Source organism: Homo sapiens, chromosome 16, assembly GCF_000001405.40.
Source record: "Homo sapiens chromosome 16, GRCh38.p14 Primary Assembly".
NCBI lineage: Eukaryota > Metazoa > Chordata > Mammalia > Primates > Hominidae > Homo > Homo sapiens.
The window spans coordinates 85,216,393-85,232,715 of record NC_000016.10 but is presented as its reverse complement, the minus strand read 5'-3'; the positions used below and the strand labels follow the sequence as shown (position 1 = coordinate 85,232,715).

The 16,323-nt window shown below is 54.2% G+C and overlaps 1 protein-coding gene across 4 annotated transcripts in view, besides 8 other annotated features; it reads right to left on the bottom strand.

Moving 5' to 3' along the window:
- Positions 1 to 16,323, bottom strand: part of GSE1 (Gse1 coiled-coil protein) — a 506,689-nt gene that overhangs the window by 443,485 nt on the left and 46,881 nt on the right. The window lies entirely within an intron of this gene.
- Positions 4,150 to 4,725: an enhancer, noted in NCBI's record as "H3K4me1 hESC enhancer chr16:85261597-85262172 (GRCh37/hg19 assembly coordinates)". NCBI's record gives its function as "activates a minimal SCP1, AML or CMV promoter by ChIP-STARR-seq in naive H9 embryonic stem cells {active_cell/tissue: H9 hESC(naive)}" and the evidence as "EXISTENCE:reporter gene assay evidence [ECO:0000049][PMID:30033119]".
- Positions 4,219 to 4,513: an enhancer, noted in NCBI's record as "tiled region #4907; K562 Activating DNase matched - State 8:EnhW". NCBI's record gives its function as "activates a minimal TATA promoter and a strong SV40 promoter by Sharpr-MPRA in K562 cells {active_cell/tissue: K562}" and the evidence as "EXISTENCE:reporter gene assay evidence [ECO:0000049][PMID:27701403]".
- Positions 5,068 to 5,417: an enhancer, noted in NCBI's record as "active region_11267". NCBI's record gives its function as "activates an Ori minimal core promoter by ATAC-STARR-seq in GM12878 lymphoblastoid cells {active_cell/tissue: GM12878}" and the evidence as "EXISTENCE:reporter gene assay evidence [ECO:0000049][PMID:35858748]".
- Positions 5,428 to 5,537: an enhancer, noted in NCBI's record as "active region_11266". NCBI's record gives its function as "activates an Ori minimal core promoter by ATAC-STARR-seq in GM12878 lymphoblastoid cells {active_cell/tissue: GM12878}" and the evidence as "EXISTENCE:reporter gene assay evidence [ECO:0000049][PMID:35858748]".
- Positions 6,706 to 6,868: a silencer, noted in NCBI's record as "fragment chr16:85259454-85259616 (GRCh37/hg19 assembly coordinates)". NCBI's record gives its function as "represses an EF-1alpha promoter that drives an FKBP-Casp9 reporter gene in an ReSE screen in HepG2 liver carcinoma cells {active_cell/tissue: HepG2}" and the evidence as "EXISTENCE:reporter gene assay evidence [ECO:0000049][PMID:32094911]".
- Positions 7,295 to 7,394: an enhancer, noted in NCBI's record as "active region_11265". NCBI's record gives its function as "activates an Ori minimal core promoter by ATAC-STARR-seq in GM12878 lymphoblastoid cells {active_cell/tissue: GM12878}" and the evidence as "EXISTENCE:reporter gene assay evidence [ECO:0000049][PMID:35858748]".
- Positions 10,150 to 10,849: an enhancer, noted in NCBI's record as "H3K4me1 hESC enhancer chr16:85255473-85256172 (GRCh37/hg19 assembly coordinates)". NCBI's record gives its function as "activates a minimal SCP1, AML or CMV promoter by ChIP-STARR-seq in primed H9 embryonic stem cells {active_cell/tissue: H9 hESC(primed)}" and the evidence as "EXISTENCE:reporter gene assay evidence [ECO:0000049][PMID:30033119]".
- Positions 10,850 to 11,551: an enhancer, noted in NCBI's record as "H3K27ac-H3K4me1 hESC enhancer chr16:85254771-85255472 (GRCh37/hg19 assembly coordinates)". NCBI's record gives its function as "activates a minimal SCP1, AML or CMV promoter by ChIP-STARR-seq in primed H9 embryonic stem cells {active_cell/tissue: H9 hESC(primed)}" and the evidence as "EXISTENCE:reporter gene assay evidence [ECO:0000049][PMID:30033119]".

Genomic DNA, 16,323 nt, shown 5'->3' with positions numbered 1-16,323 from the left:
CCACATACAGTGGCAGGAGACTGTTGTTTCGCAGGACCCCACTGGCTGGAGCCTAGCAAGGAGCACCTCGATGGGAGGGGAAGCCACCTCCTCCTGCCCAGTCCTCACACAGGAGCTGGGTCTGCTGGGCCTCCCTTGGGCCACATGGCAGGAGACCAGGGCTCTGGAGGGTCTATCCATTTTGCTCCCGAGACCACACCCTGAGCAGGAAAAGCCACCAGGGAGCAGCTCGTTCCTCTTTCACTCTGGACACTCACAGCCTGTCCACACCATCAGCCCCTGTCCATCCACCCATCTGAGGATGTCAGAGCCTGAGTCCTCCTGGGGTAGCCTGGGTTCCCATCCTCCCCCTGGGAAGGTGGAGGTCCGAGGGGAGTAGATGTCAAGTGGACAGAACATTTAATTTCAGATAAACGAGGGTTGGCCTTTTCAAAGTGAGGCCCCTGGGGAGCACACTGTGGCCACAGCTTCTCTTTGGATGTTCTTTGGGGTTCAGAAGGCAGCTCCCAAGGAAGGAGTCATAAAAATGCTTGGCTCGCTGTGGCCTTGTTGAAACAAACATTTACCTCCCAAGGGATGTATCGAAGGCCAACGCCTTGCTTCTGGTCTGCCTGCCAGGAAGGCTTTTGCTGCTTTATGTCTCCCCAGCACCGCCTCTCACTGTGGGGGAGTGAGCCTGGCTTGGCCCAGGTCCCCTGAGGCCTGGCACTCCCTAAACAGCGGCAGGGGGGCAAGCCAACACTGGCATTCATGGCGGTCAGAAAAGAGCCACCAGAGAGACACCCACCAGATGTCAACATTGGGTATCCCCAGAGGCCAGCACCATGATGACTTTTCATTTGCTTTTGCAAGTTCCTCGCCTTCTAGCTTTTTTCAGATAACCAGGCATCATTTTAGGCTGAGACAACAGTAATTCTGACACAGAGAAAAGAGCAGAAATAACCTTGATACAAAAATGAAGGTTTAAATGGGCTTCAGAGCCTAGACAGGTTGCTGACCAAGAGGAAGACCCAACATGGTCATCATCACACAGGTAGCTCTGCCCAGAGAGCTCCTAAGGAAGGCAGGGAGAGGGGGCTACATCCAACTAGCCACCCCTCTATTCCACCCGTGCATCTAACCACTGGTCCATCTATCATCTACTCATTCATCTACACTTCCACCTGTCTATTTTGTCTAACCATCTGCTCATTCAGCCATCCATCTTTCTATCCATCCCTCCGTCCATCCATCTATTCATCCATCCATCCATCCATCCATCCTTCCATCCATCCATTCATCTGTCCATCCATCCATCCATCCATCCCTCTGTCCAGCTATCCATCCATCATCATCCATCCATCTATCCTTCTGTCCATCCATCATCCATCTGTCCATCCATCCATCTGTCCTTCTATCTGTCCTTCCGTCCATCCATCCACCCATCCTTTCATCCATCCATTCATCTGTCCATCCATCCATCCCTCTGTCCAGCTATCCATCCATCATCATCCATCCATCTATCCTTCTGTCCATCATCCATCTGTCCATCCATCCATCCATCCATCTGTCCTTCTATCCATCCTTCCATCCATCCATCCATCCTTCCATCCATCCTTTCATCCATCCATTCATCTGTCCATCCATCCATCCATCCATCCCTCTGTCCAGCTATCCATCCATCATCATCCATCCATCTATCCTTCTGTCCATCCATCATCCATCTGTCCATCCATCCATCTGTCCTTCTATCCATCCGTCCGTCCGTCCATCCATCTATCCATCCATCCGTCTGTCCATCCATTCATTCATCCATCCATCCATTCCATTCTATCCATCCTTCCACCCATCCCTCTGTCCGTCCACTCATCCATCCATCCATCCATCCATCCATCCATCCATCTAGTCTTCCACACACTCATTTGTAGTAAGGAACTTTTCCATTTTATCTAATCAGCATCTGTCCCTCTCCAACCCAGGAGGACTGTGAGTTAATACACCCCTTTCCCCCTTTATACACACGGCATGTGCCCCGGGGTAGGCCAGTCATAATCTGCCCTTGGGTATTTGCTAAGAATCTCTCCCCACATGTCCAGGATCACTAGACGTCAGCCTAGAACTGCTGGTGGCCATCTCCGACAGCATGCGAGGAGAGCCTGCTGGAGAATGAACCCCCGCAGCAAAAGGCAGAGCGAAGTAGGGAGAGGTAGAGGCCTAGAGACAGCCAGTGAGTCCTGCATCCAAGAGGCTGAAGCCAATGTCACCCCATCGGTTACACGAGTCAGTAAACCCCCTTTTGCTTGAGTGAGTCTGAGTTGGGTTTGCGTCAGTTGCAAAAAGAAAGGGGCGTGGGTAACACAAACCCTTTCAATATAATACAAAGTGATTTAGAACCTTCTAGAAGCTTAGCCCTGAGCCAGAGGACACACAAAAGATAAATAAGCCCTGTCCTTGCCTGCCGGTTGGAGCAGCAGTTCTAAAACACAAACAATGAGGTTACAAACCAGACGGCACAGGCACTCAATGCCAGCATGGGGTTAAAGGAGGCCAGACAAGACCCCAACCAATTAGCTTCAGTTTTCCTACGTGTAAAATGCAGACAGCACCACTTACAGTGCAGGGCTCCTGGGAGAACCCATGATGGAGCAGGGGACTCAGCTGCCCACGCAGCAGCCATACTGGCCCAGCCTGCCCCCCACAGAGCCTGAGGAGGCAGATAACGTTCCCAGAGCCCTTTCAATTACAAGTGGGCATGTGGCACAGCCCTGGACAACTGGACCTAGGTTTGCACAAACCTCCTGGGAGACACTTTCTTCCCCTAAAGAGAAAAGGGCAAGAGGGCCCTCTACCCCCTTCTCACCCTGCTTTTGGATGCTATCGTGTGAGAATGTGATGTTTGGAGCCGTGGCAGCTATCTCGCAACCATGAGAAAAGGACCAAGAGAATCACATTTGGATTTACTCTGATTTAAGGAAAAGCTCATTTGTTGTACCCTGGAGCTGCGAACTGCGCTTTCCACTCTCACTGAATATTGGTTTCAGGAGTCAGTCTCTTGAAGCAGTTAAGAGCACGGCTTCTGGAGCCAACCTGCCTGGGTTCAAATCCCAGCTCAACGACTTGCTGGCTGTGTGACCTCAGGCAAGTTTCGGAACCTCAGTTTCCTTCTCTATAGAATGGAACTCATGTGAGTATGAAATCGTTTAGTACACATGAAAACACTTAGCACGGTGCATGGCACATAGACAGTGTCCAAGAGACTCTGGATGCCGCACTAGCCAGAGAAGGCAGGGCGGAGTGAGAGGACGGACCAGGTGGGCCAGGGAAGGCCAGAGGGGTGCAGAGGCCAAGGCCCCAGTGAGCTGAACGGCAGCCACAAGCCCGCTCCCGGCCTTGACACGGCACAGGTGGAGCTGACTCTCACCGTGTCCGCCCTGCCAAGGCCAGAGCTGGCTCCGGCCTGCCGCTGACTGCAGGGAGGGCCACCCCCTCAACCCGACATGGCTGCCACCCCCCTACCCGCCCGCAGGCCAGGCCGCTGGTGCCGCGCCAGATCTCAGCTGGAACCCACAAAGGGGGGCGTCCTCTTAGGTAGGGAGACCTCAGCCCCCTGCTCCCACGATGCCGCCACCCCCACGCTGCAGGCTGTGCTCCACAACTCCCCAGCGGATGTGTTTCCTCCTTGGTGGGGATGGCGAGTGTCGCACCCTCCCACGGGCCCAGCGTGGACGTCCATCTGGTGAGGCAGGAACAGTTGTTCCCTCCTGGGATGCCCAGGTCCTGCCCAGCTCAGAACAGGCTGCAAGGCTGGGATGGCTTAACTCCTTCGGGTATGTTTTCCTTCTCCATGGAAGACCAAAGGCCCCAGGGTGCCTTCTAGTGGGGTAAACTGAGGCAGAAGGTGGCCTCAAATCTTGCTGCACAATTTCCTTTTCTGAGAAGATGCTTTCTGCCAACTGGTCTTCTGGGCTCAAGCATATGTCACCGCTGGCCCTCTCATTTTCCAAAGCCACCCAGCCACGGCAGATCTGCTCTCTGGCCCGTCTGTGCCTGTGACCCATAATTCATGCCATTCTCGTGGGGCCTGGAAAACGGCACCCGTTAGGCATACACTGCAGGCAGGGACTGTACTGCTGACACGCAACACTTCCTGGAATGCCCACGGCAACTCCAAGAGATAGGCGATATTATTATTCCCATTTTATAGGAAAGCACACTAGGGCTGGGGAGCGTAAACACCCTATCCACCTCCCACAGCAGGGTGGGGGTTCAAACCCAGGCACAGCTGACCTGGAAGCCTGGGCCTTCGCCGCACTGACTCAGCCTTCCCCGAAGCTCCTGGCCCCAGAGCTTTGCCCTCTCCCTCCTATCTAATCCTGTACGCTGCTGGCCACAAGCAGTGTGGACAACCTCCTCTGCTCAAAAACCTACAATGGCTCCCCAGCAGCCACAGGAAAGAAAACCAAACAAACCCGTCGCAAAGCCCTCTGTCTGTAGCTCTTGACACTACCCCCAGACTTGACTCATGTTTCACTGCGAGCCAAGTGACAGGGCTCCTCCGGCGGGGGCCGGGACTCAGCGCTGCTCCTCCAGCAGCCAGGCTCACTCCTGCCTCGGGGCCTCTGCCCGTGCTGTTCCCTCCTCCTGGATCACCCGTCCCCAGGGAGCCACTCGCCCACTGCCCCTCCACTTGACTGCTGCCTCCTCCACAGAGGGGCCCTCCCAGCCCTCCCAGGCCCTGCTCCCCACCACACCCCCTCCTGAGGTATTCCCTGTTTCACTCCCCTGCACGGGGTTCTCTGCGTTGATCTGTTTCAGGTTTGATGCTCTTGACTCAAGTGTGAGCCCCGTGAAGGTAGGGCCCTCCCTCTCTTGTTCACTGCTGTATCCCCCGGTCGGCATGAGGCCAGCATTCAGCAAACAGTGAGGGAATGAATGAATCAATCAGTCAACCCATCAATCTCCATCTCCCAGGGCCCAGCGCAGAGCCAGACTATGGTGGGTGCTCCAGAGCCTGCGGCTGCCCTGAAATGAATCTCCCCTCCCACTTCCTCTCTGCCTGCCCTCATCTTCCCCAACCCTCAATGTTTCCCTCAAGTGACCCAACCACCCGGCATCCAGCCCCAACCTGCAAGAACCTCCCCGCTGCTCTCCCAAGAGACTGCCCAGCTGCTTACACTTTCCCATGCTCGCCACACTCTCATGCCTCCTGGGCCCTGCCTGTGCTGTTCCTGCTACCTGGATCGCCCTTTATCTCTCACCCACCCAGTCAACTCCTGCACATCCCTCAAAAGCCCATTCAAGTACTTCGTCCCTTGCAAGATAGAGCTGATCACAGCCCCTTCTGGCACCTCATCCTCTGGACATACCCACCGTTGAGGTCCGTGAGAAGAGGCCTGCGTGCAGTAGCCTTCACTGAGAACAGCAGGTGCTCACTAAACCACTGCAGGATGACTAACCATCTTCTCCATTCATGCATGAAGAACAGGCCTTCCCAACCAGACTGGAGCTCTCTGATAGCAGGGGCTGTTTTGTTCATTGCTATGTCTTCAGCATAAAATCCACTGCCTATTGGATGGATAGACGGACCAATGAACAGATGGGTGGGCGGATGGATGGATGGATGGATGGATGGATGAAAAGAAGGACTGAGGAAAGATGGGTAATGGGTATATAAATAGACAGATGGAAGATGAAAGGAAAATGGGTGGGTGGGTGAATGGATGGAAAGGGGATGCGTGGGTGGCTGGATGGGCAGGTGGGCCCTAGGTGTGGGGATGGCCGCTACCTGACTGACTTATTCCTGCAAGGAGAACCTCAGTTTTCGGGCCAGATGAAGAGCCTGCAAAGTCTTCCCCCAGCCTCACCAAGTGCTACCACTGCTCAGAGGAACAGAGGGGTGCTAGCTCCTTCGTCCTCCTTCACACACACACACACACACACACACACACACACACACACACACACACACACACACACACCAGTCCAGGCAGCACCACAGGCAGCCCAGGGAGGCTCAGGCTCAGGCCACCTCCCAGCAGGGGACACCCATCATGCCAGTCCCCATGCCGAGCCCCCTGTGCAGACTCCATTCTATCTAAACCTCACAACAGCACCGGCAGCAGCCTGCTCCCTCACCTTATTAAGAAGAAACCGAGGCCCAAGGACGTAAGATGCCCACTGCAGACACACAGCTGTAGGCAGCTGAGCCAGGACTCCGACCAAGGCCATCTGGCTGCAGAGTCACATGCTGCCAGCAGCCCCCTTGGTCAGGCCCCACCTCTGCATCCTGGCATGCTCCCTCCACTTGTCCTTCACCATCACTTTACTTAATATTTTTTACTTCATAATTTTCCTTAAATCAACTCACTCTTTAAGCTTAAATAAATTAAAATAAAATTGTAGATGACTATCATAAAATGGCAATCAGTATCAAGCAACATAAATAGAAATGTAACCCTAAAAAGAGGTCCTGGGAAACCAAGCAGTGTTACCCCATTTCATCCAGATATCACTCCTGATAGACGGCCTCTCTGCCAGTGGTGGTTTCGGAACATGTCCATGGATCCTCTGACGTGCCTACCTTCTCAGTGACACGTGTCTAAGGAAGTGAGTATGGTGGAGTGGCAGGGTGTGGCTTCTGAGACCAGGCTATCAGGGGCACTGCAGCATCCACCTTGCTTAGGGGGAAACCAGCGCCCTAATGTGGGGACATTTCAGCAGCCCTCTAGAGAGACCCACATGGCCAGGAACTGAGGCCTCCAGCCAACAGCCACAAAAGAGCCACCCGGCCAGTGGATCCCCCAGCCCCAGCAGAGCCTTCAGATGAGACCACAGCCCCAGTTGACGTGCTGATGAGGGCACCTTGTGTGGGAGCAGCCAGCTAAGCTGCTCCTTAATTTCTGTCACACAGAAACTGAGAGATGATAAAGATTTATTGTTTTAGGCTACAATGTTTTGAGGTATTCTGTTACACAGCAATACATTACGAATACTGCAAGTGTTTGAGAGGCTCTGAAGACAATAATTCCACACCAAGATTCTCTGTGCAGTGAAACAGAGTGGTGTCAGAATGGCCAAAGACACCTGAAAGGGGAATGAATGTATCCTTGTGGGGCTCCACGCATTCCCTAAGACCGTGACCGCACCAGCCCCTGCAGCAGCTCTCTACCCGGCAGCGGAGGGACAGGGTTCATGCGGATCAGGCTGCACCTCCCTGGGGACCCTTCTCACGGAGTGTGAGCTAAGTGCTCCAAGGCCCTGCTGACCTCTGAATCCCTACCCCCCACAAAGCCCCTGTGCTCACTGCTCCAGCCCTGCTGGCCTCCTGCTCTTCCCAGGAAGCCCCACACCCGTTCCCTCCTCGGGCCCTCTGCACTGACTGCTCTGCTCTCTGCCAGGAACACCCCTCTCCTGGCCAGCCCCAGCTCCACCCTGGGCTCTGCAGAGAGGGCCCCAACCACAGAATCTATGGGGCAGTCCTCCCAGAGTGTCTGCTCAACACCTCAACTGTGTCTTCAGCTTTGTGTATGTGTGTGTGTGATGTCTGTGTTGCATTCAGCTCCCTGTGATCCCACGTGGTCTACTATTCACTTACTTCTTTCTTTTTTTTTTTTAAGAGGGAATCTCTCTCTGTCACCCAGGCTGGAGGCGCGATCTCGGCTCACTGCAACTTCCACCTCCTGGGATCAAGCGATTCTTCTGCCTCAGCCTCCCACGTAGCTGGGGCTACAGGCACATGCCATCATGCCCAGCTAATTTGTTTTGTATTTTTACTACAGACAGGGTTTCACCATATTGGCCAGGCTGGTCTCAAACTCCTGACCTCGTGATCTGCCCATCTCGGCCTCCCAAAGTGCTGGGATTACAGGTGCCACCACACCTGGCTAATTTTTTTTTTTTTTTTGTATTTTTAGTAGAGACAGGGTTTCACAATATTGGCCAGGCTGGTCTCGAACTCCTGACCTCATGATCCGCCCACCTCAGCCTCCCAAAGTGCTGGGATTACAGGCGTGAGCCACTGCGCCCAGCCAACTTATTTCTGCATTCTGCAAACCAAGTGCCCCCCTCCCCTGCCATCAGAAGGTAAGCTCGGCAGGGGAAGGGATGGAGCTGTCGTCCACGGCTACACCACCATCACCAAGAACAGTGCCCGGCACATAGTAGATGCTCAAGGAACCTCTGTGGAATGAATGAATGAATGAGTCTGGATACTGCCAAAAGCTCAGCATCCAGGAACCTAGAGAGTCAGGCTCCAACTGAACTAAGCTATAAACCCGAACTGGAACCAACCACACTAATTTGCAGAGCCTTGAGCTAAGCCCAAATATTAGTTTATCAGCTGCCAACCAGATCGAGAATTTTTTTTTAATGAGTTTGGCTCCTGGAATCCGCCCCTGTGTGTTCCCTTTTTTTTTTTTTTTTTTTTTTTTTTTTTTGTATTTTTAGTAGAGATAGGGTTTCATAAGGGTTATGAAACCCTCCTCCTCCCTCGCCTTCTCGCTTTTCATGCGCATCCTTCAAGGGCAGGTTTTTCTACAGAGGTCCTGTGCTCCTTTCTCCCCACCAGCATCGTGGGACAGGGCCTCTCCCACAGGAACCGGACAACACTTCCTTCTCCTGGGGCTTTGAGATGCGCCACGTGCCCCCAGAATCGCCAAGGGAGGAAGTGTCTCTGCCTCCAGAATGTCTTGAAAATGGTGCTGATAATGGGGCTGGGGCTTCCTTTTGGGGTGATGATAAAAGTTCTGGAAATGGAGGGAAGTGGTGGTTGCACGGCCTTGTGAATGGGCTAAATGTCACTGAACTGTGTGCCTTAAAATGGTTACAGTGGTGGGCCAAATGAGGTCGCTCACGCCGGTAATCCCAGCACCTTGAGGGGCCAAGATGGGTGGATCGCTTGAGATCAGGAGTTTGAGACCAGCCTGGCCAACATGGTGAAACCCCATCTCCACTAAAAATACAAAAATTAGCTGGGCATGGTGGCGCAAGCCTGTAATCCCAGCTAATCGGGAGGTTGAGGCAGGAGAATTGCTTGAACCCGGGAGGCAGGGGCTGCAGTGAGCCGAGATCACGCCACTGCACTCCAGCCTGGGCGACAGAGCGAGACTGTCTAAAAATAAATACATTTAAAAAACAAAAAATAAAAATAAAATGGTTACAGTGGCAAATTTTATGTCACGTGTATCTTACCACAATTTTTTTGTTGTTGTTTTTTGAGATGGAGTCTTGCTCTGTTGCCCAGGCTGGAGTGCGGTGGCACGATCTTGGCTCACTGCAGCCTCCACCTCCCGGGTTCAAGCTATTCTCCTGTCTCAGCCTCCCGATTAGCTGGGATTACAGGCTCAGGACATTACACTCAGTTAATTTTTGTATTTTTGGTGGAGATGGGGTTTCACCATGTTGGCCAGGCTGGTCTCGAACTCCTGACCTCAAATGATCCACGCGCCTTGGCCTCCCAAAGTGTTGGGATTACAGGCGTGAGCCAACGTGCCCAGACTATTTTACCACAATTTTAAAAGGGTTAAAAACATGGTTCTGGTTCCATTTGGCATGACTGAATTCAGGAGCGTGTAGGATTTATAATAACCATAGGCTTGAAGACTTTTTTCTGCCTCTTCCTGAGATAAGACAAATGGGTATGGCAGCCTTGACTCCGCCGGCCCCGTACCTGAGAACAGAGCCTCTCCTTCATGCCTAACCAGAAAAAAACAAAACTAGAGGGAAGCAGTCCGGTAAGACTATCTGCAAAATGAAATTCTGAAGAACTCTGCAAGCATGATTTTTGGATATATAGCAGACAGTTTTTCAATTTTTATGTTCCTCTTTTGCATGCAAAACTAAAATGGTAAGAAAACAGAAGAAAAGCCACCGTATGAAGGAAGCTCCGCATGGATCCAAACTTCTGCTGCAGAGGAGGCCCGTCAGCAGCGGGAGACCAGTGAGACAGAAAATCAATAAACAAAAGCTCCCCACCCTCGGAGAGGGCATCTTCAATGAGAAACATCTCCTCCCGGCAGTCCACGCAGAGACGGAGACACGTTTTTAATTGGGCCACGTTTTCCGTTTCCTGGACTTCATTTGTGTTGGAGGAGGCAGTAAAATTCATTACGATTTCCAAATTTGTTTGATCCGACAAAGAGATGTTGGTGCATGGCTGCTGGGGGTGGGAACTGGCTATTGTGAAAAATAGCTATCAGCCTCCTGGCGGTGTTTTTCCAAGATCTGAAGCTGCTGGTGGCCTGGTGTGAACCGTCAGGCACGTCTTGGAGAACTCCTAACTCAAAGGCACTGGACCATGAAGATAATCCCCAAGTGGAATGTGCCGACCCCATTTCACGCAAGCAGGGGGCATAGCCTCCAGCCCGCCCTGTGGTCTAAGGGACCTCTCCACCAATGCCGAGGCCTGCCTGGGCTGGAGAGCCGTGCGCTGGCCCCAGCCCGGGACCTGGGCTCCCATGCTGACATTCTGGACAAATCTGTCCCTAAGGTCTGGTGGGCCCCGCTCAGGGCAGAGTTCACTGGAGGGAGAGGCTGGCCTCTACACTGAAGTGCAGGAGGCTGCTCCACCAGAGCCACAGGGAGCGGGGAGGGGCAGTGGGTGCCAGCATCCATCCTCTCGTGGAATAGATGTGGCCCAGAGGGAGAGGACTAGTGTCCTGTCCCCTTCCCCAGGCCCTGGGCCTGCGTACCCCAGGCTCCCAGCAGACCCGAGGCTGACAGATACCAGGCTGCTGTGGGCCTCCCCGGCCCTCCCTGAGGCCAGCCCACCTGGTCACCGGTGACCCTGTGGGGCGGGGACCGGGAGGGGCAGCTGAGTCAACTCCCTCAGATCAACAGAGAGCTGGCCTCTCCATCAGAGGCGGAAAACATGAGGGCTCCAAGCGGGACTGACGTGGGCTCTGGCCCCCAGCCCCGGCAAGGGGTAGGGTGTGCCATCCATACCCCACCCCGAGATGCCAGGGTGTCTGGGGGCCGAGCCCCCACCTGCCTGGACATGAAGGAAAGTGGGCCTCTCTGGCTCTGGGCTTAAAGGGCTGCTGCTGTTTCAAACACTCATCTTGTTTAGGAAGCCGGGGCCGAGACCATTCAGGCGGCACGTCCTGGCCTCGTCAGGGGATGTGGGTAGGGGCAGCCCTGGCTGGGGAGTTGGGGCTGGACGGGTGGTGCCTGGTTTAGGGAACCTGCTGCCATGTGAACAGGGGACCAGGTCATCCCTGTAGAGGGATAGGGATGTGGCGTACCCTGCTCATAAGCAGTGTGTGTCTGTGTGCGTCTGTGTGTGTGTGTGTACACATGTGCACACACGTGGATGCATGCATGCAGGGTATGTATGTGGTATGTGTGTATGCATGTGGGTGTGTGTAGTATATGTACATGGTGTGTGTGTGTGCATGTACTTGGGGTGTGTGTGTGTGTGTGTGTGTGCGCGCTAGGGAAGTGTGAACCAGGCCAGTAGCCTGCAGCTGACCTCCCTGGCAAACCAGCCGCACAGTGGGGCTCCTCGCACAGCCCGGCCCCCCGCCCGCCCAGCACGGGAGGGACAGCTGCAGATGCCGACCCTGTGACCATGAGGCCTGTGCCCCTGGCCTCCCTGCCTCTGGGCGGGGGCTGCACCGCTTGACCTCGGAGGTCTGGTCGACTCCAGGATTTTACGGCTGGGGGCCTGGTTTTCCCAGCCGCAGGGTCTCGGAGAGGGGGCAGCCCGGAGGACGCTGAATCCCCACAAAGGCTTGGCTGTTCTCCCATGTGCCTTGCTGGGCCAGGGAGGGGGAGAGGGGCCACTGGAGGAGGGGGTGGGCAGGAGGGGTGGGGGGCAAGGTAGGAGGAAGCTGGAGGAAGCAGTGGGGGGCACGATTTGGGAAGGTTTCCTGCAACGGAAAAGGGATGGGGAGGAAGTGGTGGGAGAGAGTGAATCAGAGACAGAGACACATACTGAGAGAGATGGAGAGACAAAAAAAGAGAAACCGAAGCAAGGAGAGAGAAAGGGATAGAGGCAGACACCAGAGGTGCAGAGAGCGCGAGAGAGCACGAGAGTGGCAAAGCCAGGGACTCCAGGCAGCAAGACAGAGACAAAGCGAGACGGGCCAGGGCAAGCGGGCAGCAGCGGGCAGCAGCGGGCAGGCCCGAGAAGCCCGCCTGTGTGGGGAGGCTGAAGTTCAAAAGGGAGGGGAAGAGGTGGTTTGACGACCAAAGTCATTGAAAAATTTTTGGCACAGCTGCCCCAGGCTCCTGGCCGCGGGCCCGGCTCTGAGCTGAACTTAAACAAACCCCTGTTGCAGCCATCTGCTTGATTTTAAAATAAATCAAACAGTCTGCTGAGCCGGGGGTGATCGAGTTTCCATCTGCGCCGCCGCCCGCTCGCCGGCTTGGAGCCTCGCTTGCCTCTCCCAGCCAAGGCTCCTGGCAACATGTGGTCCGGTAATTCCTCCAGGAGCAGGGAAACCAGACCCCCGCCTGCCCCCAGCTCCTAACTGAAACCAAGTGCCATTTTCACAGCCACCCACTGGAAAGCGGACCAGGAAGAGCTCTTGAAATCCCAGGTGCGGGGTAACGCCGAGCTGCTTCTGGCCCAGAGGGGAAAATGTTTTGGGATTTCCCCGTGCTCCTTGAGAAAGGGTGAGGGGCCGAGGGTGGGGTGCTGGCCCCCCAGCCAGAAGGATGCTCTGACATCATGTAAGAACACACAGGCCACCAAGTCTGGGCAGCTGTGGCTCATGGGAGAAGGGAGCGCCCACCTGAAGCAGCTGAAAATAGCAGCAGGGATTCCCATCCTCCAGGCTGGGGTCACCCTGGGAAATGCTGCCCACCTGTTCCAAAGGAAGTCCTGTCACCTGCAGGGCCAGGAGACCAGGAGAGCCTGCCTTCCCTGGCCCAGGCCAGAAACAAAGAGACGTCGGCTTGGGGGCCCTTGGTGAACCCATCTGTAAACTGGGCATAAAGCAAAGCTGGTGGTCCCATAGTCATGGGGCTGTGGCTTGCAGAAGGGGGAAGGAGGGGCTCCAAATACAATTCTGGAAAACGCAAGAAGAAAAGAAATGACCACAGGAGACAGGTCAGGTGCACGGAGGCAGAGGACATGATATGAACACTCAAAGTGCCACAGGCGACATTCGGAGATGGAGGTGGGATGGAAGCAGAATGAGAACATTTGTCTCTTCTGGGCCGTGCAGTGAGTGTACTCATGCTGTCAAGAGGGGGCTTTCTAGAGAGTGCAAGGTGGTCCAAGACAGCTGGCCTGAGGGCCGAGGCTCCCTGACCAGGTAGGACCCAGGCCAGCCCCAGGCCAGCAGCTTCATGCGGTAGGTCTGTCCTGGGCTCCAAAGCTACTTTTAACCAGCTCCCCACAAAGATTATTCTGGATCCAACCAAAGTGTCAAAATATAATTCATTTTTTTAAAAAACCCACATGGGCAGCAGTCCTTTTGGCCGGGCACGGTGGCTCACGCCTGTAATCCCAGCACTTTCGGAGGCCAAGGCAGGCAGATCACCTGAGGTCAGGAGTTCGAGACCAGCCTGCCCAACATAATGAAACCCTGTGTCTACTAAAAATACAAAAATTAGGCCGGGCGCGGTGGCTCATGCCTGTAATCCCAGTACTTTGGGAAGCTGAGGTGGGCGGATCATGAGTCCGGAGATCAAGACCATCCTGGCTAACATGGTGAAACCCCGTCTCTACTAAAAATACAAAAAACTAGCCGGTCGTGGTGGCAGGCACCTGTAGTCCCAGCTACTCGGGAGGCTGAGGCAGAAGAATGGTGTGAACCCGGGAGGTGGAGCTTGCAGTGAGCCGATATCACACCACTGCACTCCAGCCTGGGCCACAGAGCCAGACTCTGTCTCAAAAAAAAAGAAAAATCCGCATGGACTGTCAGAATACATAGGAAGGACATGTGACATTCAATCGGTCATTTGGTTCTTATAAAAAATATGCAAAGGGTGCCTGGCTACTGCACGCTGGAAGCTGTGGAAGCAAAGATGAAGTAGACGCAAGACCAGCTGGACGCACAGAGCAGGACCTGCAGAAGGCAGGTCATGGGTGAGCCAGGCGCAGAGCTGGGCCCGTCACTTGCTGGACTCCCACAGGCCTGTTCTTACTCCCATTTTCCATATGATTTGGAAAGTGAGGCCTAGAGGCAGAAAGCAGTTTGGGAGGTCACACAGGTAGCAAGTGGCAGAGTTGAGCTCAAACCCAGGTTCACTGCTCCAAAGGCCGCGTTTTACCACTACGAGCGGCACGTCTCGTTTCACGTGCAGCCCCAGAAGTGTGCCTGGCACTCCGCAGGTCTCCATAAACATGCACTCAATGAAGGGGTTTAATTCTCTTTCAAAGAATCTTAGGAGCTGAGAATATGCACTGTGTTCTAGAGATGAGGCCATGAAGACTCAGGAAGGTTCAGCAGCCCATCCCGAGTCACAGGGTAACACACGGACTTGGGGCTCAAACCTGGTGCTCTGGACCCCCAAGCCCATGACTTACAGTGGAAACCCTAGGAGAAAACCACCTCAGCACAGTGAGCTTCAGATGAGGCTGAAACGAGCCAGGCGTGGTGATTCATGTCTGTAATCCCAGCACTTTGGGAGGCTGAGGTGGGCAGATCACTTGAGGCCAGGAGTTCGAGACCAGCCTGGCCAACATGGTGAAACCCCATCTCTACTAAAAATACAAAAAATTACCTGGGTGTGGTAGTGCGTGCCTGTAGTCCCAGTTACACAGGAGGCTGAGGCACGATAATTGCTTGAACCTAGGAGGCAGAGGTTGCAGTGGGCCAAGATCGCGCCACTGCACTCCAGCGTCGTAACAGAACAAGACTCTGTTTCAAAAAATATATATAAAAAATAAATTTCTGTTGGAAAAAAAAAGAAGAGGCTGGAAGGACTTCTGACTGGGGACAGGGAGTGCACAGGTGGTAGTCAGGGAGGGCTTCGAGGAGGAGGCAGGAGGAAGAGGATTCGGGGAGGATGCAGCAGGGAAAAATGACGTGGGCAACAGGAGGGCTTAGGAAAGTCCGCTGGGCTGTTCGGCTTTGAGGCAGGGAATGAGATACTCCTGCTTGCTGGCCTTCACTGAGCACTTCCTCCCACAGGCCCTGTCCTGAACGCTCTCCATGTATTCACGCATTTAACTCTCACAACCAGGCAAGGGCATCATCCCCCATTTCACCCAGCATCACTTCTCACGCACTCCCCATGTGGCTTTGGGAAAGTCACGCACTCTCTGAGCCTGGGATCCCCCTGGTCAAACTCAGAGAATGGAGGAGCCGCTGGCTCAGGGACCTTCCAGCTCCCACCTTCTCATACTCTGCAGGGCACACGGTTCTCTGGAGGGATCGCCAGCCTTCGCATGGTCCCAGGCGTGGCGGCTTCTTCTGGCCCACCTGACCAGGCTTCGCTCCCAACCCCAAACACAGCACAGAAATGAAAACAAGCTGATTCTGAGAGGCACATCCCGTCCAGGGCCTGCCCCAGTCCCCTCCTCCTGCCTCCCACCCTTTTCCCCCATCGTCCCAATGTGCAGCATTTGCTGAGCGCCTATGCAAGGCAGCGCGTCACAGGGAGCTTGACACCCGCCCAGACACCTGTGAAGTCGCTACTCTCATCACCCCCACGCTCCATATGGGGAAACGGAAGCAGAAAGGGGCTGAGTCAGTTGCCCAAGGTTATCTCAGGATTACCTGGCGCAGCCAAGGCCCCAAATCCAAGCCACTCGCCTCTACGGCCCTGTGTCAACCACAGCGCCCCGCTCCTTCATCCCACACAAGCATCAGGGGCTTGCCGCTTTCCATAGGCCACCTCACCCATTCCTCAAGAGAACCCAAAGAGGGGGTGCTGCAAACTCATTCTGCAGTTGGGGAAACTGAGTTCTGTAGATTGCTCAAAGCCAGGCAGCCGGCAAGAGACAGGAGTGGGTTTGAGCAGCAAGTGCTATATCTTTCCAGGGACAGCCCCAGAAACAGCCCAAGGCCAGGGAGTCCCCCAGAGGCTGGAGGAGGTGAACACAGCACCTCTAAGCAGGTGCTGGGAGTCCCACAGCCCAGGCTCAAATGCAGCCTCTACACCTGCTGTGTGTCTGTGGGAAAACAGCTTAACCTCCCTGTGCCTCAATTTCTCATCTGTCCCAGGGAGATAAGAAAAGTACCAACCTCCTGGGTATGAAGTGAAGGTCATAGGCGTCAGTTTGTGTTCCTGACACGTGTGGTAAGCTAAAGTTTTTCTATTTCTTATGACTACTTAAAAAATATTATATTAGCTATGAATTATTATAATCAGATAACATTATATCACTATTAGATATGGTAATAGAGAGAGCTGGTAATAACAGTGCTTTATCTTTTGTTGTTAGAGACA